Genomic DNA, 26280 nt, shown 5'->3' with positions numbered 1-26280 from the left:
ACCAGATTCATTCAATGACTTCCATTACCTAGGTACTGGCTGTGTTCTCAGCTGGGAGATGCCACAGGGAGTGGAAAGACGTCTCCTAGTGGGTCCACCCTCAAGAGAGGAAGCAAGTTAGAGCAGAGGAACAAGAAAGTCATCAGTGCTCCAGGAAGAAGCTGAATAGCTCTCACAGGGCCTCCTTGTGCTAGACGCCTTCATGCACAAACATTCATGAGGTCCTCCCAGCGAGGCAGATAGCTGCTCATCCCCATAGCCACCCTCAGCCCTTCTCCCGCTGCTCTGCGCTCGGAGGCAGAGCTCCGTGGACCGCATCACTAGGCTCCCGACTCAGGTCACAGAGAGAGGGTGGGAATTTCCCCAGCCCTCCGACCCCTGTCAAAGCTCTGTTCCCATTCTGAGGCCTTCTACAGCGAAGGGACAGCTATGCTTTCTCCAGGCCACTCACTTGTCGCACAAGGAGTGGTTTCCCTAAACCCTGCCCACATCTTGGTAAAAAGCCCCTTCCAAGGCCAGCTTTGTGGGCCTGTGACCCATGACGTCATCCTGGGCCCGGCGCTTAGAAGGGCCCATTCCTGGTCTAATGCTCCGCTGTTATCATCTTGAAATTCTTAACACTTTTTAACCATGGGGCTCACATTTTCACTTTGCTCCAGATCTGTTGGTTATGTAGCTGCTCCTGGTCCCTTGGTTAAGGCCCTCTGGTCAGCCTGTTGGCAGGTGCCATCCGCTTCCTGCCGGGTTTGTTTTTCATCAGCAAATGGAGGTTGAAGGGAGTGCAATAACTTGCCTGAGACCACAGAACTAGTAAGTAGCAGAGCTGGGATTTGAACCTGGGACTTCCACCTTTGTAGTCCCTGTTTCTCCCGGCTTGAGTCCCCGGATGAAATGCCTGTGATGTCAATCTGCAGCACTTTGCATATACACTGATTGCTCCTCCCTGATGGGAAAGTCACGAGGCTTCCGGGGGCCTCTATTTCTCTCCTCCTGATTCTGGTGGTTTTCCTGATTGCCTTGGCCCAGCCGGCCTCAAAGCCTCCTGCTGGCCTGAATCACATATGCAGCTGCCCTGACCGCCTGATGATGGAGAAGCCAGGCCTCTCCCTGGTCACCTGAGCTGGGTTCCTCCCTCCTTGCCAGCCCCCTGTCTGCCATTTGCTGCTCCCAGCAGAGAGACCCTCACTTCCCAGTGCAGCCTCGAAGCTCCGGCCTGGACATGACGGATGAGAAAGGGAAATTTGGAAAGGACTTAATGCTCTTCCCGGCTGCCTCTAATTTTATTTTGAAGGGAAGAAAAAAGAGAGGGGCAGGGGCAGACAGGAGACGTTTCCCCTGATGGAGATGAGCTGGGAATCAAGATAAATGAAGGCTCCTTTTGGACACTTGTTCCAACCCTCAAACTGTTTTCCTGGCAGACAGGCACATGATCAAACCCCTGCCAGGCGGCCCTGGGTGAAGCTGCTGCTCAGATGCCCATCGGATGCTGGGGGTCTGGAAGGGAGGGTTCCACTCCCTTCAGCCTTTGGTCTTGGCCTTTCTGGTCAGCCCAGTCCCTTTGGAGACCACTGGTCCTCCAGAAAAATGGGAAGGGCTTCGACTCTGGATTCAGACAAATCTGGGTCCATTACTCTTTCATTTCCTGTAGGACTCCAGGTGCAATACTGAACCAAACCCGAAAGGCCCTGCTGTGCGTGAGTTTGGTTGCTGTCTCTGCCACTTCCTAGTGAGGCAGCCTTGAGCAAGCTCCTAAACCACTCAGAGCTTTGTTTTCTTCCTCAGGGACACAGGGAATGTCACACTAATTCTCAGCATAAATGTGAGCATCAGAGTTTGTGCATATAAGATCTTCGTCCTAAGTCTGACACCTTGTACCAACTCTAATACACTAACCACTGGCTTTTTTTGGGGAAAGAACGGTAGGCAAGACACGGCTTGGAGGGCAGTGGTCCAAGGGGGACGGTGTCTGGTGTCCCAAGTTTGTGCCCTGTTTATAAATGCCCAGGGCCCAGCCCCGCACGGAGGAAACAATTGAAAAAAAAAAAAAAAAAAGAAACCCTCAAGTCGGCAGCATCCTCTTCCAGCTGCAGGCTCACAGCTCCAGGGGGGACCCAGCTCTCCTTCCTCCCTTGTTATTTAAAGTCGAAGGGGTGTGTAAATCAACCAAAATAATTCACGCGAATCATTAGCGACTCCAAGGTGGCATCTTTTGACCAGCAGCATTAAATTAAAAACAGAACAAAACTGCGGCTTCTAAAAACACATCGGCTCTGTTTCCTCCCTCCGGCCTGCTGTAATCGAAAGCTGCTGGGATCTAATGAAATGGAATTAGCATCTCCAATCCCTCTCTGGCTACTGCTTACATAAAAACATCTCTCTGGATGGAGAGCTGAAGGGAGATGTCAGAATTGCAAGGGAGTCCCACCCTTCTCTGCCGGCCCCCTCGCTCTGTGGCGCCCACCTGTCCAGTGCCGCCCGAGCTGCAGCGACCATGTTGCAGAGGGGTCCGAAAGGAGTGGTCGGTTCTGTTTGTTCATCTCTCGTTTCTGCCTCTGCAGAGACCCGGCCCAGCTCAGCAGTGCTCACACCAGCTCCTTCACGGTTTCCTGTGACAACTGCACATCAAGACTGTCTCCCTCTAACCCCATTTCAGGTACCTTTCACCTGCTGTCCTCTCTCGTATCCCTAAACACTCAGCCGGCTGGGCATGCAGCCTAGAAGCTTTGCCATCCTTTCTCAGTTACCTGCCTCCCACTCCTCTTCCTGGGTGAATGGGAAGTCCTGCAACCCCCCTGTATCATTCCCCTGGGCTGTTTCTAAGTGTTCTTTCAGGGGTGTTCAATGGGGGAGCTGTGGCATTTGGGTCATGAGGAGAGTAACAGGGGCCCCTGGAAGCCTGGTGGCTTTCCCAGGCGCCAGGTCCCTGGTGCCTTGTAAATGCTTGGAAAATGATCCTTTCTTCTGTGGTTATGGTTGCAATAGGCTGTGAATTCTATGAGAGCAAGAGTGGGTGTCTCCCATTCCCTGCTTCCTCTCTGATATCCTGAACTCTACTGACGGCAGCAAACACTTGCTGAATCGTTGTTGAAAAAGGAATGAATGAACACTGGGTTTGGAATCAGGGTCTGTCTTTCATTTACCAACTGTGACTGGCCCCTGGACTGAGCGGGCCGCTCTTTGCTGCTGGGGGACTGTTGTGTGTATCGCAGGATGCCTCTCATGCCCACTTGATTCAGGAGTGCCCTCCCCGGTCATAGCAAAAAGGAAAAATGCCCAATACCTTTCAAGTGCCCTGGGAGTCTGGTGCCAGCTAGCTGAGAAACACTGATTCCTTTCCCTCCTCCCAGACGCTCTCTTGTTAACTCTCTGATTTTTCTAATATGAGATCATCTCCACATTTTCCTTAGAAAACTTTGCTGACTCCCAGGGACTTAATTCTTGGTCTCATTGTCACGGCCAGCATGAGGGTGTGTCTGCACAGCAAGGGGCAGGTGTGGGTGGAGGGAGTGGAGGGGATGTGGGCGTTACCTCTCCTTGGCAGGGGTTGTCCCTGACCTGACGCCTGCCTCCCACAAGCCACAGACTGTACATCTCCTGGCTTTGCTAGTAGGAGGATGTCCCCACATGCCTGTGATTGGTAGAAAATAGAGTCCTAACTCCTTAGCGTGGTGCCAGAGAGTTGCAGCTCCTGCCTGAGCCATTTCTCCTGCTCCCAGAGCCTAGTGCCCTCTTAGCGCATCCCTGCTGTCCTGGCTGTGATGCTCTGCCTGTGGCTTTGCATCGTCCCCTTTCCAGAGACAAAGCTGAGGCTCACACAGAGGTGATCCTCAGGCAGAGAGGAGGCTGCTTTTGCACTCCCAGGTCCACGCCCTGAAACTGTCTTAAAGTTACTCTTTCACTCCTTCATTCACTCACCCATCCGTGCTCTGAGTCTGCATGCCTCGCCCACTTCTGATTTGTCTGTAGCTGTGGGGGGCAGTCCATGCATGCTGAAACCATCTCCCAACCTCAAGTGCACCCCGAGTCTCTGCCTGGGGCTGTCCCCGGAGCAGGAAGGAGTGTCCCTGCAGGTGCAGTTGGAAAAGCAGGAGAATCAAACCTCAGCCCATGGGCAGGGGCCCGTGGGAAAATGCCTTAGTCTGCGGTCTTCCAGAGGAACCATTACAAGGCACCCCATGCCTGGCTTTGCAGAGGGGTCCCAGTGGGGTTGAGTCCCATTGTCCACAGTAGTGACAAGCCCAAGAATGCACCCCTCCTTGCTTTTCTCCCTTCCGAGTCTCACTCTTCCTGCCCCTCACTCCTGCTTCCTGGGGTCATCTCCCAAATAAAACACTTGCACCCAAGTCTTCGCTTCAGGACCAGCATCTCCAGTTTGTCTGGGGTGTGGAGAGGACTCTACATATGCTGCAGGATGAGGAGACCAAGCACTGTCCCCTCCAGCATCCACTTCCTCCTCACCGCCCCCCACCCCAAATAGAGCGACAGCATAGCTGGACCACAGATCTGCCTGAGACAGGCCTGCTAGTGACGGCCCAAGGAGGATGCGCAGACCAGCTCCACTGGCTCCCCAGCTTCCCAGTTCGGAGCCAGCTTTGCTCCGCTGTCCAGCTTTGCAGAGAAGTGATGGATTGTGTGGGGAGGTGGCGGTGATGGTGGGGAAGGCTAGGAACAGAGCCCTCTACTGTGGTGAGCAGGCCCTTTCATGGTGCAGCATGGGGTCTCCAGGAGCCTGAGGGGCACTGCACAAACTCCGGGTTGGCCCGGGGGAGGCTGAGCACCAGCCTGAAGACTCACCACCCTGGTCAGGAGCAGCTGGCAGCAAGACCACACCCTGATGGGCAGGCCAGGCAAAGCTTGAGGCTGGAGAACCCAAGGTTGGGAGCTTGACTGAAATTGGGGGTGTCTTTGATCACCTGTTGAACTGCTACACCATCGGAAGTGGCTTATCCACTGGGGGATTCCCTCCTTGCCTACTCAGCGCCTTGCAGGTGACAGGTGCTGAAATCAGTGCAAACAGAAATGAGAGGATCCCCAAATCAAAACCAGGAAATATTCCTGCCACTCAGCAGCTCTCCTTCCCGCTCCCCGGAGACAGGTGGCAGAACTCCCTATTATTGTCTTTGGGGGCAAATTGAGCCTGGGGCAGAGGAGGGAGAGAGAAAGACAGCTCAACTTGGGGTGGCAGGTCACAGATTATGTCCTGATTGTAAATGTCTGACCCCTGGCCCACCAGCTCTCCGTGTAACCCTCTTCCCCAAACAACCATCTCCTGATTTTCCTGTATCCCCGTCCCGTCTCCACCTCCCGCCTGCCCCTGCCCCCACCCCCTCCCCAGTTCAGATCTGCCTGGAGGCCTGGATGGCGACCATATGTTTAAGATGTTCCACTGCTGCTGTTGAGAGCCAGAAGGGCTGCCTGGGAGAAGGCACTCAGTCAAAGCTGTGTTTATATACACAAGGGCCGGCGTCTTTTTATTATGCATAATTATACGCTTCTTAATGTACAGGCATTTCGAGCCATTTTTCCTTCCTTGGTGAAGTCGCAGCAGAGGCGGGTGTGAGTCCGGGTGCTTGGGGGCCGGGAGATGGCTGCTCTTGTCTCCTTAACTCGGGGGTGCTGAGCCCTGAGCATGGCGGGTCCCTCGACCGATCAGCGTGCGAGGTCGCTCTGACCGAGAGAACGAATTCTTCCAAGGGGATCGGGGAGCCGGGACGCGGTGGTACATCGTGGAAATGTTGTAGATCATGAGGTGAAGCCCTCTCTCTCCCTCTTTGTCTTTGAGCCAAAGCCTCAGATACGCACTCCTGCCCTCATCCTGAAAGAAAATGTTAGATCCTTCCTACAAAGCATTGTTTTACATCTATACCCAGCGATTCTCCTCTTCTTTCTAAATTTCACAAACTTAGACTCTGAAAACCTGACATTGAGAGGTGACAGCATGCTGGCAGCCCTCACAGCCCTCGCTCGCTCTTGGTGCCTCCTCGGCCTCGGCGCCCACTGTGGCCGCGCTTGAGGAGCCCTTCAGCCCGCTGCTGCACTGTGGGAGCCCCTTCCTGGGATGGTGGAGGCTGGAGCCGGCTCCCTCAGGCTGCGGGGAGGTGTGGAGCAAGAGGCACGGGGGCTAACCGGGGCTGCGCACAGCGCTTGCTGGTAGAGTTCCCCGGGCGTGGGTTTGGCGGGTCCCGCACTCGGAGCGGCCGGCCGACAGTGAGGGGCTTAGCACCCGGGCCAGCAGCTGCGGAGGGTGCGTCGGGTCCTCCAGCAGTGCTGGCCCACCGGCGCTGCGCTCGATTTCTCGCAGGGCCTTAACTGCCTCCCCGCGGGGCAGGGCTCGGTACCTGCAGCCTGCCATGCCTGAGCCTCGCCCCTGCCCTCGCCCCCGCCCCCGCCCCCGCCGTGGGCTACTGCGCGGTCCGAGCCTCCCTGACAAGCGCCGCGCCCTGCTCCGCTGCGCCCAGTCCCATCTACCGCCCAAGGGCTGAGGAGTGCGGGCGAACGGCGCCGGGCGGGCAGGCGGCTCCACTGGGTGAAGCCAACTGGGCTCCTGAATCTGGTGGGGACTTGGAGAATCTTTATGTCTAGCTCAGGGATTGTGAATGCACCAATCGGCACTCTGTATCTAGCTCAAGGTTTGTAAATGCACCAATCAGCACTCTGTGTCTAGCTCAGGGTTTGTAAATACACCAATCGACACTGTGTATCTAGCTAATCTAGTGGGGATGTGGAGAACTTTTGTGTCTAGCTCAGGGATTGTAAACGCACCAATCAGCACCCTGTCAAAACGGACCAATCAGCTCTCTGTAAAACAGACCAATGGGCTCTCTGTAAAATGGACCAATCAGCAGGATGTGGGTGGGGCCAGATAAGAGAATAAAAGCAGGCTGCCGGAGCTAGCGGTAGCAACCCGTTTGGTTATCTTTCTGTGCTGTGGAAGGTTTGTTCTTTCACTCTGCACTATTTTGCAATAAATATTGCTATTGCTCACTTTGGGTTTATATTGCCTTTATGAGCTGTAACACTCACCATGAAGGTCTGCAGCTTTACTCTTGAAGCTTAGCGAGACCACTAACCCACCAGAAGGAAGAAACTCCGGACACGCCGCCTTTAAGAACTGTAATACTCAGTGCGAGGGTTCACGGCTTCATTCTTGAGGTTAGTAAGACCAAGAATCCACAAATTCCAGACACAACATGGTAATATATGGGGTCACTATCCTTATAGTGAGGGTTAAGCTTTAAATCATCACAATGAAAGCTTTTTGTTTCTCTAGCGTAGCAGCAAGGGAGAATAAGGCCTCTGGAGTCCAGGACTTGGGTTCAAATCCAAGCTCCACCGTAGCTGTGTGACCTGGGTTTATCATTTCGCCTTTTTGAATTTCGGTTTTCATTGAAATAATGGGAATAACATTAGTTCCTATATCATGGAAAGTACCTAGCACGGTCCTTGGTGCCTTGTAAATGCTTGGAAAATTATCCTTTCTCCTGTGGTGATGGTTCTAATAGACTGAGTTTTATGAGAGCAAGAGTGGGTGTCTCCCATCCACTGCTTTCTTTTTGATACCCTGAACTCTGCTGATGGCAGCAAACATTTGCTGAATCGTTGTTGAACAAGGAATGAATGAACACCGGGTTTGGAATCAGGGTCTTTTTTTGAGACAAGAGTCTCACTCTGTCTCCCAGGCTGGAGTGTGGGGGCTCCATCTCGGCTCACTGCAAGCTCCACCTCGGAGTCACGCCGTTCTCCTGCCTCAGCCTCCCAAGTAGCTGGGGCTACAGGCGCCCACCACCATGCCTGGCTGATTTTTTTGTATTTTTAGTAGAGACCGGGTTTCACCATGTTAGCTAGGATGGTCTCAATTTCCTGACCTCGTGATCTGCCTGCCTTGGCCTCCCAGAGTGCTGGAATTACAGGTGTGAGCCACCGCACCCGGCCAGGGTCTGTGTTTCATTTACCGACTGTGGGGCCAGGCCGTACAAGACCTCTGAGCTCCACAGATGCAAAGTGAAGAAGTTATGGATTGGCCCCATAGGCATGTGACGATGAGATTAACTGAGAGGCGCTGAGATAAAGCACGTGAAGTGTTTAGCTTGGTACTCGGTGTCAGGTCATGTCCAATTTTATTAGGAGCTTATATTCCATTCTGTAGCAGCTTGCTATTTTTATTTTTTTTTACTTTTTTTTTGAGACAGTCTTGCTCTGTCGCCCAGGCTGGAGTTCAGTGGCGCCATGTTGGCTCACTGCAAGCTCCGCTTGTCGGGTTCGCGCCATTCTTCTGCCTCCGAGTAGCCGCTTGGCTAATTTTTCTATTTTTGTTTAGTAGAGATGGGGTTTCACTGTGTTAGCCAGTATGGTCTCGAGAGATCTCCTGACCTCGTGATCCACCCGCCTCAGCCTCCCAAAGTGCTGAGATTACAGCGTGAGCCACTGTGCCCGGCCGCAGCTTGCTATTTGAAAGCATTTTTATTTCCATCACCCCATGTGATCTTCAAAACAACCTGTGGGCTGGGCAGTCTTCATCCCACAAATAAGAGGGTTTCAAGCCGGCCAGTGGAATCCCAGCGCTTTGGGAGGCGAAGCAGGGGGATCGCTTGAACCCAGGTGTTTGAGATCAGCCTGGGCAACATAACAAGATCCTTTAACTATAAAATTAAAAAAACCAGTTTCAGAAGGGTGAAATGACTTGCCAGCCACAGTGTCCAAGCCCCATGGCACTACCCGCCCCCTACCTATCCCGCCTTCCTGTTTGTCACTTTTGTTCCAATGCAACTTATTTGGTCCTTTGAGAGTGTCCCAGACTTTTAAATGTAGGAGATGCTGGAGCTCTGTGGTGTACATAAATCTTTCTTTGAAGCCTGCTTCCACCAGGAAGGCCCCCTAGGATGAAAAGACTTAACAGTCCAAAATGTTATCAGCCCACTTTGGAGAGCCCTTTTCTGGGCCCCTACCCTAGTGGGGAAGCACACACAGACTGCCAGGCTGTCATTCATACGGAGTTCACCCTGGGAGGAGCAGACAGATTACTGTGTGTGGGGCAGGGCACTTCCCACACACTTGCGTGGGGTTTCGAGCGGGGACGGTGGCCAGGGGCCCTGTGTATACACATTTTTTTTGTTTGAGACAGGGTCTTGCTCTGTCTCCCAGGCTGGAATGCGGTGGCGTGATCACGGCTCACTGCACCCTTGATCTCAACAAGCAATCCTTTCATCTCAGCCCCTCAAGTAGCTGGGACCACAGGCACGTGCCACCAGGCGTGGCTCATTTTTTTTTTTATTTTTGTAGAGACAGGGATATCCCTATGTTGTCCAGGCTGATTTTTGAAATGTGCTCAAGCGATTCTCCCACCTTGGCCTCCCAAAGTGTTGGGATTACAGGCATGAGCCGCCGTGCCCGGCCAACGCATATGCTCTGTGCTGACAGATTTCTTCTGAGCTAACAGATGTTGTCCTTTGACCCATATTGACCCTGTTGGAACACCCTAAATATTATTTAGCTGTCTCTCACCAAAACATTACAAGTTAGGCAGTTAGAGCTGTTTTTCAGATTTACCTGGCTGTTATGTCTTTTTTTTTTTTTCTTTTTTTGAGATGGAGTCTTGCTCTGTCACCCAGGCTGGAGTGCAGTGGCGTGATCTTGGCTCACAGCAACTTCTGCCTCCCGGGTTCAAGTGATTCTCCTGCCTCAGCCTCCGGAGCAGCTGGGATTACAGACACCCACCACCACGCCCAGCTAATTTTTGTATTTTTAGTAGAGGCAGGGTTTCACCGTGTTGGCCAGGCTGGTCTCGAACTCCTGACCTCAGGTGATCTACCTGCCTCGGCCTCCCAAAGTGCTGGGATTACAGGTGTGAGCCATCACACCTGGCCCATCCTGAATTTTCATCTGCTAAACGTAGCAACCCTAAGGACTGGTGACTTCCCAGCGTTGGGGCAGCTGCAGCTCTTCCCAGCTCCACTCTGAAGAGCTGGGGACCAGCCTGCCTTCCGGTCTCACCAGGAGCAAGGGAGATGCCAAGCTCCTTGGATGCTTCTCTGAGGAGACTGCGAATCCACAATAAAGGAAGCGTCCTTGGTAATGGGGAGATTTACCATCTGAAGGGCACCCCTCCCACTCGTAGGGGTGATTAGTTCCTAAGCACTTTTCTTGCAAGTGCTCTGTTTGTTCAGGGACACAGGAGGAGGCCCCCATCAATTCTTTCTCGTTCCCACCGCCCCCTGTCCCCCAGAGATTGAGAGTCAGGAGGTGATCTTCCCTCTCGCTTCCATTACTTTAGCACCTGAGTTACTGAGCCATTATCCCTTTAAGAGTTCTTTATTCGACCTCAGGCAACAAAATCCAAGGAGCTGCAGAAGCGCTTCCCTCTGCTCCGGGGCAGTACCTGCCCACTGGACTCGCCATTCATTTAGCTCTTTTATGGGCTGCCTCTGTGGCTCATGGCTAAACAACCTTGGGTGAGACCTTAAACTCCCCGAGATTTATTTTCCTAATCTGTAAAATAAGGTGGTTGAAATAGGTGCTCTCTAAGGTCCCTCATTTTCTGTGATTTCTTGCAGCCAATCTGGAGACAAAGCCCCCCATCCCAACATAATAGAGTTAAAAGGCCATGGCCCAGCCCAAGGGGCCATCAACTTTCTCCAGCTCACCTCCCCAAACCTTCACCCACCTCATCATGCAAAGCCAGCAACTCAGGAGGTGGGAAATTGACAAAGTTAATAGAAGACAGGAAAGGACAGAGTTGGGTTGAGATTCCCTCATTCAATGAGCAACGTGCATGAGGAATTGATTTCCCCCACCTCCTGTTTACTATGGTTTTTTTCCCCCTCTGGTGCAGGGAAGAAAGGCTTTGCATCAAGATGAGTCCTTCCACAGTGAGACTGCAACTTACCCAACATGTTTATTATTTCGGGAGCCCGAACACCTGTCGCAATAACTTGATTCCCTTGCCCTTGCTTTTCTTTGGCTTGTTTCTTTTTTCCTGTAGACAAACAGTTTCAGAGGAAGATCAATTCCTCCTCAGTTGTAGGTTCAGGGTTCTGTGGAGGTCTCGGGGAGGGGCCAAGGTCTCAGCAGGCCTGCTGTGGTGGGAAAGCTGCTGGTGCCTCTGTCTCTCCAGAGGGGCACTTTATTGACCGAGGACGTGAGCCTCCCAGCCAGGAGTCCAAATGGCTGAGGAGCCCCAGCGACACCTTTGCAGGCTGGGGTACCAGCAGCTCCTGCTCATGCCTTGGTCTCTGAGTAATCAAGATGGCTGGTGTGGGGGAAGGGAGAGCAGGTGGCTCTGATAAGGATGAAACAAAATGAATGTGTTTTCAAAGTTTCCCCCAGGCCCCAGCAGGATTCTGCAAAATTGTAATCCTATTTTGTAAATGGAATTGCCTTCTCTTTTTTAACCCATTGGAGATGCAAAGCCAGCTGCTCTCTCTCTGTCTTAATGCAACCGGTGAGAGTGGGGAGGCTAAGCTGTCGATTAGTCCCGGCACGTGGATGAGGTAAGGGAGCTACAGCGCGGTGAGGGCCCCAGAAACCTGTGCTGTTTGTCTCTGAAGCTTGGACGAGTCGATGCCCAAACCAGTGGTCAGTTCATACAATTCGGAATTAGACTTGGCAGACCCAGTGGGACACTGTGAGGCAGAGAGAACTGGTGGCTTCTCTGAATCTGTTCTGAGTCTTTTCTGACCAAGGGTCTGGGCTGATGTTCTTGGGACAGAGACTGGGGCCACCCACAACTGTTGCATTTCCAAAGGTGACAAGGGGACCTCAGCCAAACACCTGGCAGCAGAGCCTTAGCATGGGGACTGGACCTTACCCCAGGCACTGGAGCTGCTGGATGATGTGAAGGCTGGGCACAGTGGCTCACACCTCTAATCTCAGCCCTTTGGGAAGCTGAGACAGGCGGATAACTTGAGAACAGGAGTTTGAGTCCAGCCTGGGCAACATGGGAAAACCCTATCTCTACAAAAAATTAAAAAAAAAAAAAAAAAAAAAAGCTGGGCCTGGTGGCACGCACCTGTAGTCTCAGCTACTAGGGAGGCTGAGGTGGGAGGATCATTTGAGCCCAGGAGTTCAAGACCAGCCTGGGAACATGGCTAAACCCTGTCTCTACAAAAAATACAAGAATTAGCCAGGTGTGGTGGTGCATGCCTGTGGTCCTAGCTACCCGGGAGGCGGAGGCAGGAGGATCGCTGGAGCCCAGAAGGTCAAGGGTGCAGTGAGCTGTGATTGCACCACTGCACTCCAGCCTTGGTGACAGAGTTGGACCCTGTCTCAAAAAAGATGTTAAACCGGGCACAGCGTGATGGCATGTGTGTCTTAGATGCCTTTGCTGGCCAACTGGAGGTGGGGGTGGGTGGCTGGGACTGCAGGAAGGAAGACCAGGTGGCAGCGCTGTGGGAACCCAGCTCAGAGTGATGATGGTGGCCTTGGCCAGCGTCGCCCAAGAGCAGAGCATGAGCTCTAGGCCCGTTAAGGATGGTGGGTCATGGCTGGGTGGTGTCTGCTTGGGCACTGGGTGGGTGACAGTGTCATCCACGATGGTAGGGAGTGCAGAGGAGGAGTCCGTTTGGTGAGTGGAATTTGTGACGTCCCGCATTTGAGGTCCCTGGAACTCAGCGGCAAGGTCTGGACACGTGTCGTCGCGGGCACAGAAGGTGCGGCACGAAGACCAGCTCTTATCCAGAGGCAGAGGAAGAGGACCATCAAATTGGAGCAATTTTGATGACACATTCATTAAAATTTGTTGAATTGTACACTTAAAGTGGTGAATATTATGATGTTTAAGTTATACCTCATTAAGGTTGCTTTTTTTTTTTTCTTTCAAAGAAAGACAACGAGGAGGGAGCAGCTAGAGGGGTGGAAATGGGATCACGTGACCTTGCGAGAAGCAGGGAGAGAGAACACTGCGTCTGCTCCCTTTTAGAACAGGTGAGTGGGGTCAAAGGGCTGGAAGGTTCTGTTCTACCCAGCAGCTGGCAGCTGCCATGACCCCTGGCCAGGCAGTCTCAGGGAGGAGGTGAGAGCAGGAACTTGATCACGGTAGACTTGGGAGGCTTGGCAGGGGGTCAGATTGGGTCTCCTTCGGGATTCTTAAGTCATTTCCTAGACCTTTGCCATCTCCTGCCCTCAAAGATTGAGCTCAGGAAAGCAGAGTGAATTACTGGTGTTCAATAATTCACCAATAATTAGGGATACCACTGGCTGGAGTTTGGGGACTCTTAGGACTAATTGTGACGAGCAGTACCAGGTGTCAAAAGCTATTTATTTTTTAATTGTAATTTTTAGTTGTGGAGTACATGGGCAGGATGTGCAGGTTTGTTATGTAGGTAAATGTGTGCCATGGTGGTTTGCTGCACCTGTCAACCCACCACCTAGATATTAAGCCCAGCATGCATTGGCTATTTTCTTTTTAGCTATGTTTCCTAATGCTCTCTCTTTCCCCATCCCAACTCCCAACAGGCCCCCCCCCCCCCCGCCCATGTCCATGTGTTCTCATTGTTCAGCTTCCACTTGTGAGAACATGCGGTATTTGGTTTTCTGCTCCTACATTCGTTTGCTGAGAATAACAGCTTCCAGCTTCATCCATGTCCCTGCAAAGGACATGATCTCATTCCTTTTTATGACTGCATAGTATTCCATGGTGTATACGTACCCCATTTGTCAAAAGCTATTAAAAAAAAAAAACGTAATTCATAGGACAAGGGTTGTCATTGCACAGAGAGGGGGATGACTTGTTAGTGGGCCAGGTGCGCACCCTGGCTTGTCCCTCATCTCCAACCGGTGCCCTGACAGCCCTGCGTGATCAGGCAGGAAAAGAAGGGCTGGGGACAGCTGGAGCTTTCTCTGGGGGCTGCTGTTGTGGGGAGGAGGTGCCACTGCGTGGCTTAAATAGGTGCTGGGGGACAGTATTCACAGGCTGTCCTCTCAGGCATCTCTTCCTTCCCCTTTCCATTCTTCGAGGCTCCAAAGTCTTTTCTGAACTTCTTCAGTGAGTCAAGGCTGGGTATAATCTACAGCTGGAATGAGGTCTTTTCTGGGAAGCCACAGGGTGTGGGGCTGAGTGAGGAACAGAGCACCTGCCTGGCTTCCAGAAGAGACTTTGCCCAAGACCAAAAGCGACCTGGGGCTCCATGGAGCTTGAGGTGAGGTAGCCCAATTTCCCAAAGGTCATTTTCCTGAAATCCAGTGCACCCCATGGCCAGTCCTCCAAAGGGTCCATTTGCTGAATTTACTTGCTGCCTTCAACTCTTCATTTTTGTTGACTGGTTTTCATTTTGTCTTCATAACAGCATTTTAAGGGATTGACCTACAGCTGATAAGAGGTGCTTTAGGTTGTTAGGCCCGGAGGCTGACACAGGCTATTTCATGTAATGGGGTTTATGGACAGACAAGGCAATACGAAGACAGAAACCTCATGGGGATCTGGGAGCAGCCAGACTGTCAGGAAAGAACAGGAAGAGAAATGCAGCCAGCATCCTGGAGACTGGGATGAAGGTCATTTGGGATCATGGCAGCTCCAGGAGCCAGGTGTCCTTGCCACCCAACAGCTAGGCTGCATCCTGGTCCTTACCGATGAGTGAACACATCTGTGGCAGCTTGACCAGGTGGCTGTTGGGTTGCGTGCAACACGAGGGCAGGAACTCTGTCCCATTCCTTACTGTGTCCCCAGTGCCTGGCATGCAGCAGGTGCTCCAGGATGTTGGCGTACATGAAACTTGCCACTTCCTCTCTTGGGCTCTTCCCCTGTATTCTGAGGTTAGTTCCGATTCACATCTGCCTGTCAGGGCAACAGCACTTACATTCTTCTGCAAAGCCTCCTTGCATCCCAGGAAGTGGACAGGTGGGGACAGCCACAGTCATCCTGGAGGCTCCTGCTTCCTCTCCACCAAGCCCAAGCCCCTAGAGTTTCCTGGGCAGACCCAGGATGCCAGGACGCTGTGGAAAAGTACTCCATCCCCGCTACCACCCCTGGGCCCCTGCCCCCGGGGTAGTCTGTCTGCAGCAGCCCTGCTGGGTTTAAGTTCTTTTTCTGAGAAATAGAGGTGGCTTTGCCCCTCAGGAGGCTGGTACCTTTGGAGCCCTGATGCCCTCTACCCACCAGCCACTAGATAATGGGAAATCATTTCTGGTGGGAGGAAGCAGCATGGGGCCTTCTGTGCATTGGAGTTGTTGCTGCGTAACTGCAGCAAAGGGAAATGTAGGGCAGTAACCCTTCTGGCTCGCCACTCATGCTGTTGAGAGCAGCATCAACCAGAAAATACCCGCTAATGGCCTTCACCCAATCTCCTTCTAGATAATGATAAATTATGTGTATTTTTAGTTTGGAATTGAATTTCATCTCTCCATTGCTGGTGTTTTTCAGGTGTCTTTTTTCCTTCTCCCTCAGGGTTGGAAAACTAGACGTTTGTGCATTTACTGTGTGCATTTATTCCTGGCCAAAAATTGACATATGGACTCATTAATTCCTTTACACTTGTTCTCACCACCCCTCAAACACACATCTGGCTGGACCAGGAAGGGAGCTGTATCTAAGAGGGCTCTTCTGAAGGCATCCTGCAGACCTGGGGAACAGGTGTGTCCTGGAAGCAGGAGACTGGCCCCTCTCAGTGACCATTGGTTCCCACACTTGTGTGTGCCCCCAAGTTCCCAAGTCAGTAGGTTGGGATAGAACGCAAGAAGGTGCATTTCTAAGGAGCTCCTAGGTGATATTGAGGCTGCCAGGTCAGGGGACTGCACTCTGAGAACCAGTGGCCTAAATCCTTCCTCCTGAAAGTGTGGTCCTAGAACCAGCAGCATCAGTATCACTGGGGAGCTTGTTATAGATGAAGACTCTGGGCCCTCACCCCAGTCTAATAAAAGTTTTCATTTTAACACAATCCCAGGTGATTTGAATGAATATTAGTTTCAGAAACACTGGCCTAAACGATTTCTCAAAACTCAGCCCAGTGGCCTCGACCTTGGCTGAAAGATTAGAATCGTAGGGAGATTTTAACATTTCTGTAAGCCCAGGCTGCACCCCAGACCAGTTAAGCCAGCATTTCTGGGGCTGAAGCGCAGGTATCTGTTTTTAAAAAGCTTCCTAAGTGATTCCATGTGCGGTGACATCTGAGAACCACTGTTCAGGCTGGAGGAATCAAATCAGAAACATACCTCACCCAACCCTGACCTTGAACGGAGAAGGGCAGAGTTCTTCCATGGCCACTCATCCATACCCGGTTTTTGGCCCAGAGAGAGTTCAGCCTTGCTTGACCCCAGTGGTTGCCCATCTTTCCAGTGTGCCTTGCATGGGTTTTGGGAGCCCAGTGGCTGCAGCAGAGCATCCTTCTCTCTGATTTCAGTTTAGCCAACTGCGGCAGGTGGGGAGTGGGAGAAACAGCCAGGATTGGCCAAGCCAGCCTTTGCTCACCTCATTGGCCTAATTAGAGCAGGGCTCATGTACAGTTCTGGAATTTCACTACATAAGTCCTTTTGAATTAAATCTGGAATGTCAAATACCGAGTGAACCTACTAGGACTCTCCCCATCCTGTGTCCATGGCAGACATCACCAATTGATCAGCGTACTCTTTCTCATTGAGCCCAGAGGTGGCTTCAGAAGACTTTCCTAGTCTTCCCGGGGTGCTCTAGGCAGCCGGGGCCAGCTAGACCGGGCATGGGAGATGGAAGTTACTTGCCTTCCCAGGTCGAAAACATCAGCCCCTGTCACAGGAAGACACACCTGGGGCGAGAGTATCAAGTTCTTGTTGAGTGATTCATACTCTAGTAATACACACTCTAGTATGAATTACTTACCTGTTCCTTTCCAGGGTTAACCTAGAGCAGGTTTCTAAGTGGGCAGGAAGGAGGTGGTAGGGAGAGGTCTGAAAGGTGAGATGCTGTCCTGGGAGGCAGGGCTGGGGAAGCTCAAGTCAGCACCGGGTTTTGGGGGAAAAGAGGATCCCTTCTTCTTTGTCTTCTCCTCCTCTTGCCTCCAGTGCTAGAAGGTTTTGGCTGAGAAGACCCAAGGGTGAAATTCTCTTATCCCCTTCTCTGTACTTGAGGCTGGGGCTCAGTCTGACAATTTGGGGAAGGCTCTTTCCTCTTCTGTCATGCATTTCATTGTGGCCAGTTCTCAGACTCAGCCAGGATGGTATGGATGTGCAGAAAACAAGCGGGGTTGGTGGGGTGGAGATCCCCGTGCAGAGCCTGGCGTCCTGGGCCGGAAGCACCCTGGGGACTGTCGAGTGGATGACAGCCGGACACTGCGAGGCCAGCTAGAGGCACTATTCTATCCAGCTGCGGGGTGAGGTGAGGAGTGTGTGGAGGAGGAAGGACCGGCAGGGCCCCTCCTCCAATCCTGATCTTAACTCCTCCCGAGTGGACCTGAGGAAAAGGAAATGACATGAGAAGAAAGCAAAGAACAGATACTGGAGTGTGTCCTCCAGAGCAGCGGGAGCCTGCTCAGTAGAGTAGTGTGGCAAGCAGGTAGAACACAGCACCTGAGCTTACAGGCAGGAGAGGATATGACTTTCAGGAGGAGAAGGAAAGAAGAAAATAAAGGAGATGAGCATGAAGAGGCTTCTCCTCCAGGGCTGTGCGTTTATTCATCCACGAATGCAATACTTCTTATCAAACACCTACTCCACAAAAGGCTGGAAGCTGCTTAGCCCTTTCCCGTGTGGAGGAGTCCACTCTGTAGGAGAGGAGTGGCTTGCAGGTCATCTTGGTGCCATAGAGCTTGGGGGCAGAGGAGGTCTCACCAGCTCGAAACACAAGAGGCACTTGTAGCCTGGGAGGATGATGGAGACCCTCAGGAGACTGGTTCAGCCAAGAGCTTGGTCTTCAGAAAAGTGACAAAGCCTGGTCCCTACTTGCCCCAGTGCAGATGGAAGGCAGCCAGTTGGATGTGTGCTCAGTAGCAGACCCTCAAGGTCAAAGGATGCTAAACTAATGGAGCTTGGAACGTCCTCCAAATAGTCTGCCAAGTCACGGGGAGCTGCAGAGGAAGGGAGGTTAGGCACAAGCAGCCCTAATTGCATTTCATGACCTGATATTCATGCCGCAGAGGATGCTGGCCACTGCTGGCTGCCTGCTTCACTTCTCACCCCTTCATTCCCCTCCCCTGCCAGGCAGGCCTAGCAAGCTCTGAACTGCCCCTTTGCAGCTGGGGAGATCAAACGGAGAAGTGGACCCTGACCTCTTTGTCTAAGAGCCTTCCTTCCTTCCTTCCATATTCTATTCGTGGGCTTTGGGGAAGAGGTTGGCAGTCTCAGGCTCCATGAGTGTCCCCTGCAAGAGTGAAGGGCAGCAGCATGAAAAGGCTGGGCTGTGGGTCTTTGAGAAATGGTCGGAAGGAATTTAGGTGGGTGAAGAAGAGCCTCGCCTGTCTTCCTGGTTTTGTCCCTGGCATCTGAAAGGTACCCCCAGCTTTTCTGGCAGTTAAGAGTAGGAACGAAGTGTGGGATTGTTTTGTTTCATTGTGTGGCTGTGCAAGTGGAGCTTTGGATCTCTATGAGCAGTTTGACAGTGTATACATGTGTGCATGCATGTTTGTGTATGTATATATGTGCATGTGTATATGTGCACATGTGTAAGTGCATACATGCCTGTGCGTGTGTGTGTTCTGGAATACCTGTTTATCTGCCGTACTTGAGAATGTGTGTTGGGGTGAAGCTCTCTGCACGGACCAGGTCCTATGAATCTGTAACAGAGGAGAGGTCACCTCCGGAAGTAGAAATAGGCTACAGTCCTCATGGGAGGGGACATATTTAGAAGCTGGAGTTATTTTTCCATCCCTTAGGTGTGGAGCTCAGTGTTGCCCTGCACGGCCCCACTGAATGACCCTTTCCCTGAGAAGAAACTGACACCAGGAGAGGCTGCCATAAACTGAGGATGGGTTTAGTGAGGTGGTCCCGCTAAGAGGTGAGGCAGGGGGCTTGATGACCTCTGATGAGCCCCAGCTCACATGGACAGCCCCATCCATGTCCTGGACCTCTGCAGCCTGGCCCAGGCTCCCCTCATGTCCTAGCACCATCCTAGCCCCAGCACTCATGGACGGAGGCTTTGCTGACTTTCAGTGACCTTGACTCCTCACCCTCCCCACTTACATAGAGAGGCTTCTGCACTGCATGGTCTGTCTTTGCCACTCCAGAGCCAGCCTTTAAAATGACCTGCTTCATCTCTGCCGTGATGGGAGTCTGAGGGGTTGAGAAGCGATACCTTCCATTTCTACTTTTGATGACAGTGCCAAATGCGGTGACGCGCCCACCTCTCCCCGTACCCCACCCTATTTCATCCCTCAGAGTCCCCAGAAGCCCCTTCTCCCTCCTGCTCCCAGGGCTCCTGCCTGCCCTTCCCTGGCTGCCAGCAAAGCCCATCCTGCCTGGATGGATGGACCTGTTTGCTGGGGAGAGTATTTATTTCAAGAGGCATTTCACCTCGGCTTGGATGTGCTTGGCTTATTACCCATAAATATCAACTAACAGAAAAGGGATGGTGTCTGAAAGGAGAAGTGGATGTTTTGGAGGGAGACCAAGAGCAGACAGATTCCCAGGGGAATGAGGGAACCGTTCACGTGGCCTCTTCAGTGCCATCCAAAGGGACCCCGGATGTGCCCTGCCACTGAGCCAGGCCTGGCTGTAGCAGTGGGTCCACTACACAAGACCTGTGCCCTCCAGGACCTGGGTCTCTTGGAGCTAGATCCTAAGCCAAAATCCAGCCGGGGGCAATGGGACAGGCTAGGGGGTATGCGGAGGGCCTGGTTAGGAACCAGGGTTGAGGGACTGTGGCTTGCAGGGGTTTCATGGCAGAGACGACTGTTGGAAAGGTCTTGTTGATTGAGCGGAGGAGGGGAAGGGCATTCCAGGAGGGAGAAGAGCAAAGGCATAGGGGCCCACTGAGGAGGGCCAGGAGGCCTGCAGGGGGAAGGAAGGGTGGATGAAGAGCCGAGCATAGGGAGGGGGTAGAAAATGCCCACAGGCAGTGAAAGGCTTTGATGTCTGGGTTTCCAAACCACGCAGGGGAGTTAAAGTGGCTTTCCTTTTTGGACTCTGGGGAGTGAGCTTTGAGGGTGGTAATGATCCGAGGTTCCCTGCCTCAGCCAGGACAGATCATGCAGCTGACAAGGCAGACCCTGCCCAGGGATCGCTCTCCTCTGATTTCACGTGGGAGTCCACCATCTCCCAGCTGTGATCTCTGCAGGAGGGAAATGGAGTCGACCTCGTCGACCTGTCCCTGAGTGGGCAGCTCTGTGCTGGGTGCCATTTGATCTCTCCTGGTGTCCCCTGGGTGGCCCTCGAGGCAGGCATGTTGACTTCCACCAAGCAGGTGGAGAGAAGGACTCAGAGAGGGTGCAGAGATGGTCTGGGGGTGCACAGTTGCAACCACAGTCTAGGAATTCTCAGGCAGGGCGACGGGACAGGGACACCTTCATTGAGGATGTGCTTTTGGCTGCCAGGCAGTTTAGAGACACCTTCTTCTCTCTCCTTGCTTTCCCTGGGCATTTTCTCTGGAGGCCTTAGAAACAAGACAGAATCTTTCCCACTGGGATGCTCAGGCTAAGGTGATCCTGCCTGGAGGGGAGTGGAGGGGACAGTGTGAGACTTTCCCAGCCAGGAGGGAGATGCAGCCAGGTGGCCCCGTGTCCCCTGTGGAGCCAGGGGAGCAAACCCACAATGTGCTCTCAGTAAGGCCTGTGTGGAGGCAGTGGGGGGTACCATCTGGACCTTCAAAGAGACTACGTGACGGAGGAGTGTGTGTGTGAGAGTATGTAAGAGCATATGTGAGAAAGCGTGTGAACGTGAGCACGTGTGTGTGTGCAAATGTGTGTGAGCGTATGTGTGAGTGGGACCATATGTGAGTGCGTGTGTGTGTGTGAGCAAGTGTGTGAATGTGTGTGAATGTGAGACAACATCTGAGTATGTGTGAGACTGAGTCAGAGTGTGGGTGAGAGCATACGTGACTGAATGTGTGTGTGTGAATGTGCATGTGTGAGTGAATGTGTGAAAGTGAATGAAAGTGGTCTGAGTGAGTGCGTGTGAGAATGAATGTGTCTGAGTGTTAGTATGTGTGGGTGAATTGTGAAAGTGTTGCATGTGTAAGTGTGCATCTGCATGAATGTGTCTGTAAATTGTGTGTGTCAGTGTGAGTGCATCTGTTTGAATAGGCGCCCATGTGTCTGTATCTGAAGGAATAAGCACGTGTATGAGTGTGTCTGGTGAGCATGAGAGTGTGTGAGTGCGTCTGTGTATGTCAGTGTGTTGATTGTGTGCAAATATGTCTACAAGTGTGAGTGCGTTTGTGAGGGTATGGTGTGTCAGTGTGTGTGTGTATGCATTTCTGTGTGTGTCAGGGTATGTCTGGTGGGTATGAGGGTATGCGAGTGTGCATCTGTGTGGATGTGCGTGAGTGTGTGTGTGTGTATCCGGAGGCTGAACCTCACCAAGCATCATCCTCTGAGGGCCAGGGTGAGCTGCCCTCAGCCAGTCCTGCCTGGACCCCTCCACACACTGAAGGCAGAGCCGCCCGACTCATGGGTCAGCAGGTGTGAGGGAGGGAATCCCACAATGACTGTCAGCCCACGAGGACTTTCCCAGGGGGAGGTGAGCGGCCCCTCCTCTTTGCTCCAAGATCCTCCTTCACCACCCTCCCACTCCCCTGATGCATCCCAGGGCTGACCCTAGACCCCAGTAGAGGTTGCTATTAAGGCCCTTCACTCTTCTTGAGCCCCTAGGGACAGGCATGGAACCCACGCCTGACAAATCACAGGGCCTATCCCTCGTACAAAAGTAATCAGTCCGAGGGGGGTGGGGGGCATGAGAGCAGGGCCAATCAGAGTCCTTCCTTTGAGATTGGGCCATGGATCCTACCAGCAGGAACTTTTCTCGGGGGATGCGGGAGTGGGAAGGTGTGAATGTGAGGTGTCTGGTGGCCGTCTTCATCAGTGCGGAAGAGAGCCTGTCTGCGACCAGAGACAAGCACAGATGAAAACTGGGTAGGGGTGTGTGGGAGAGGCGACAGATGGATGGACTCATGGATGGAGTTGTAGACAGAATTGGTCCCAAAGTCCTGGTCCCCACAGTCTTTTCTTTAATTCTGTGAGCTGTCCCAGAATCCTCTTAGCTGCAAGAGCCAATAAATCCCTGTTTTGCTTAAGCTAGTTGAGTTCAGTTTCTGTCACTTGCAAATTCCAGAGTTCTGAGTGATTTATCGGTCTCCACGGGGCTGTGCCCAGCCCCACTGTGCAGCCTTATCTCTTGACTATGGGGGTGGCATTATATGCATCGGCTCTTTTCTCCTTCCTCTGCAAAATGAGAGTCAGATGTCCCCTTTCAAGCGTCTCTGTCCCTCTCCCTTCCCCTACTTGGTTGCTGATACGGTACATGGTCTCCAGTCTTCTCCCTGCTGCAGAAATACAGTAGCATACTTAGAGAAGTTTCCAAACGCCTGGGCTGGAAAAACGTTGAGAAACCCTGAGTGAAGACATAACTCAGGTTCTCCTGGGCACTCTGACATTGAGGACCAAGGGAGCAGGACTGAGACGGACGGGAATGAGGCCTCCTGGACCATGGTGTTCTGTTATCGTTTGTTTTTGTGGAGATGGGGTCTTACTACATTGTCCAGGCTGTTCTTGAATTCCCAGCCTCAAGCAATCCTCCCTCCTTGGCCTCCCAAAGTGCCGGGGTTACAGCCATTGCGCCCGGCCCCAGTGCTCTGCTTTTCTTGACATGGAAGCTACTTCATTCACAACATCCCTTCCTTCACTCTCCTTGTTTATATTCAATGACATGAATATTTATTATTAGGCTTCAGCCAGTTTATTGACTTTATTTTTTTCTAAAATGGAAATATCTGGGATTTTCCACCTCCTTCTAACAGTAATTCACAGTCATGATAATAATAGTGAAATAAAACCAAGTTACAAAAAGTGGAAAATTTCCTGACTTCAGTGCTGGCCTGTGCTGTAATTAATGCTACCTGTGTTCCCTACAAGGTCTATCTTGAGTTTGGTTTCTCACATGAGTCCTTCCCAGCAAACTCGTGTACATCTCTCCCCTTCTGGTCACTTGGCCCCTCTGGTAATCCTGGCCTCTTTTGTCCCCAGACCACGTTCTAGAATTGTAGAATCCTGGCAAGAAAAAGGCAGCTCGTCCAGCCTTCTGTCCAGTGGAACAGCCCCAGCCAGAGCAACTGACAGATGGTGAGCCGCTGATGTCTGCACACGGCTGAGCCAGGCAGCTCACTACTTTCTGTGGCAGCACTTCTACCATGGGGCAGCTCTAATTGCCAGAAAGTTCTTCCCTTTATTTAGCTGAAATCTGGCACCAGGATGCCCTTGGTTGAAGGCCTGTCCTCTGGAACACCACAAAGTCAATCTGTTATTCTTCCACATGACAGTTTTCACACCGTTGAAGACAGAATATCCCTTGTGGATTTGCTGTTAAACACCCTGATTTCTGAAAAAACACATCAGAGGAAGAACAGCGCGAGTGCCCTCACTGACCTGGTTTTCTCCTGGTCATGCTCTCTGTCTTAGTCCGTTTTGTGTTGCTATCACAGAATACCACAGATGGGTAATTGAGAAAGAAAATAATTTTATTTCTTACAGTTCTGGAGGCTGGCGAGTCCAAGGTCATGGGGCCCGCATCTAGTGAGAGCATCTAAGCTGCATCATCCCATGGCAGAAGGTGAAAAGGCAAGAGAGTGTGAGGAAGGAAGAGGGCAAGCGGGGGTCGAATTCACTTTTATAACAAGTCCACTCTCACAATAACTAACCTTTTCCTGGGATAATAACATTAATCCATTCATGAGGGCAGAGCCCTTATGACCTAATCCATTCTTAAATGTCCCACCTCCCAACCCTGTTGCATTGGGGACTAAGATTCAAACACATAAACTTTGGGGGACACATTAAAACCATAGCACCCTTTAGTATTCATCTTAAAGTGTGATACCTGGCCAGAGCAAAATTTTCCAGGGGAGTTAGACTCCAGGAATCAGCCAATGAGATGTGGTGATCCCATGCTGCAAACTTGGCACTGTGTGTGCAACAGAATCACTGGTAGCATTACACAAATACCTGGGTCTTATCCCCAGAGATTCTGCATCAGTAAGTCTGGGGTTAAGCCCAGGAATGTGTACTTTAAAGGAGAGCTTCACAGCCCTTTCCATCCAATGGTCGTTTTTCTGCAGGAAAATGGAGATGTGCAGATAAGATGCACTGGGCATGGCACTGTGAAGCCAACATATTAGTCAGGACTCACTTATTTGCAAGTGATAGATATCCAACTTAATCGGCTCAAGCAAATGGGGAATGTATTAGTCCAGGAGCTTTGAGGGATTCTGGGACAGCAGTAGGAACCTGCCTTCAGGGATGAGACTGAGGATGAAAAACTGTTGCTCCTCTGCCTGCTATCTTGTTTGGCTTCATTCTGGGAAATAATCTCTCTGTGTGGTGAGAAACATGGCCACAAGTAGCCCTAATTCATATTTTCCAAGCTTATCAACCTCAATTGGAAAGTAAATTTTGTCTTTTAGTGTATTTAAGTTAATTCTAGGGAAGGATTTTTATTGGACCAACTTGAGTCTTTTAACTGACCACTGTGTCATGTAGATGGAATGTTTTTTATTGGATCATGGACTTACCACTTCCCTAGATTGGAGAAGGCTCAGTATTGGGTGAGGGAGAATGAACCATCAGGAAAATGATGCTGGGCACATGCCCGCTATAGTCAACCTACACAAAGGGCTGGCTAGATTTTTCTCAGGGAAAGAAAGCTTTATTGCAACTTTTAGATGGAGGCAACATTTTTCTAGTAATAACCAGATTTTTAAAAGCCTTTAAGGTCACCAGATTAGGATGATGCTACTGGGATGAAAATAAGAAGAAATGTTGGTTCAAATGCTAGTTCAGTCATTTATGAAACTTGATTTATGCCAGCAGAGACTGGTGATCACATCTGTCTTGAATTAATCTCTACTTGTTTCACTGGCACAAACCTTGTCTCATCAGTCAGACTGAAAACAGCTCAAAGCCTGGAATTACAAGATACACAATTTTTATGTTTCTTCTTATACTCAGGTCCAGTATGTTGCTGGTTACCCAGTGAGTAGAATGCACATAATGTATTTCACCTCTTTAATGGACACAGCTTTATGTCTGCCTCTAGTTTGTATTCCCTCCCATGAAAGGCCTAGGTCTGCTATGGTTTGTGTGCCTCAAAATTCATGCATTAGAAACATAATCCCCAATGTGAAACTGTTGAGAAACAGGACGTTTAAGAGGTAATTAGGTCATGAAGGCTCTGCTCTCATGAATGAATTAATGGCATTATCACAAGAGTGGGATGCTGATTAAAAAAGGGTACGTTTGTCTCTGTTTCTCTCTTGGTTTTGCTCATGTGCGCTCTCTTGCTCTACCACCAACTACCATGGAATGATAACAGCAAGAAGGTCCTCACAAGATGCCGGCATCATGCTCTTAAACTTTTTGGCCTCCAGAATCATGAGTCAAATAAACTTCTATTGTTTATAAATTTCCCAGGCTGTTGTTTTCTGTTGTAGCAACACAAAATGGACTAAGACAGGAAATTGGTACTGAGAAGTGGGACTATTTTTTATAACAAATACTTGAAACTATGGAAGCAGATTTGGAACTGGGTAATGAGTAGAGGCTGGAAGCATCTAGAGAAGCCGGTTAGAAAAAGTCTAGATTGCCACGAATGGAGTAGTAAAGAGTGATTCTGCAGAGGGCTCAGAAAAAGAGAAGAAATGTAGGTAAAGTCTGAAACTTCTTAGAGATTACTTAAGTGGTTGTGATCTGAATGTTGGTAGACATATGGATGGTAGAGGCCATTCTGATGAAGTCTGAGATGGAAATGGGGAAGAAGGTATTGGGAACTGGAGTAAAAGCTATCCTTGTTATAAAGTTGCATAGAACTTGGCTGAATTATGTCCATGCCTGAGGGCCTTATGGAAGGCAAAAATTAAGAGTGGTGAACCAGGATATGTGGCAGAAGAAATTTTTAAGCAAAATAGTGAAGAAGCTGTCTACTTTTAATCATATACATTAAGGAAATAAATGATTTGAAGATGGAATTTATAATTAGCAGAAAAGAGAAGAAGAATGAAAAGATCTTAAAAATTTTCAGCCTGACCATGTGAAGAATGAAAAAACATGTTTAGGAGAGCAAACTAAGGATGTGGTTAAGTGACCATTCGCTAAGAAGGTCAGTACTGATAGGAATCAACAAGACAATGGGAGAGTGAACCTACTGTGGTTTGAATGTCTCCTCCAAAAGTCACATTGAAATTTA

At 51.0% G+C, this 26280-nt stretch overlaps 1 long non-coding RNA gene across 2 annotated transcripts in view; it reads left to right on the top strand.

Moving 5' to 3' along the window:
* The first annotated feature begins 6898 nt into the window (after positions 1–6898).
* LINC02074 (long intergenic non-protein coding RNA 2074) overlaps positions 6899–26280 on the top strand; it is a 50789-nt gene continuing 31407 nt past the window's right edge. The window contains exons 1-3 of one of the 2 annotated variants that reach the window (NR_184085.1): positions 6899–7152; positions 12817–12918; positions 23070–23165. This is a non-coding gene — a long non-coding RNA (long intergenic non-protein coding RNA 2074). The remainder of the gene's footprint in view (positions 7153–12816; positions 12919–23069; positions 23166–26280) is intronic. The other variant, NR_184084.1, reaches the window with a different exon arrangement.

Source organism: Homo sapiens, chromosome 17 (genome assembly GCF_000001405.40).
Source record: "Homo sapiens chromosome 17, GRCh38.p14 Primary Assembly".
NCBI lineage: Eukaryota > Metazoa > Chordata > Mammalia > Primates > Hominidae > Homo > Homo sapiens.
Note: the sequence above shows the minus strand (reverse complement) of the source record. Positions and strands in the feature narration are given on the sequence as shown.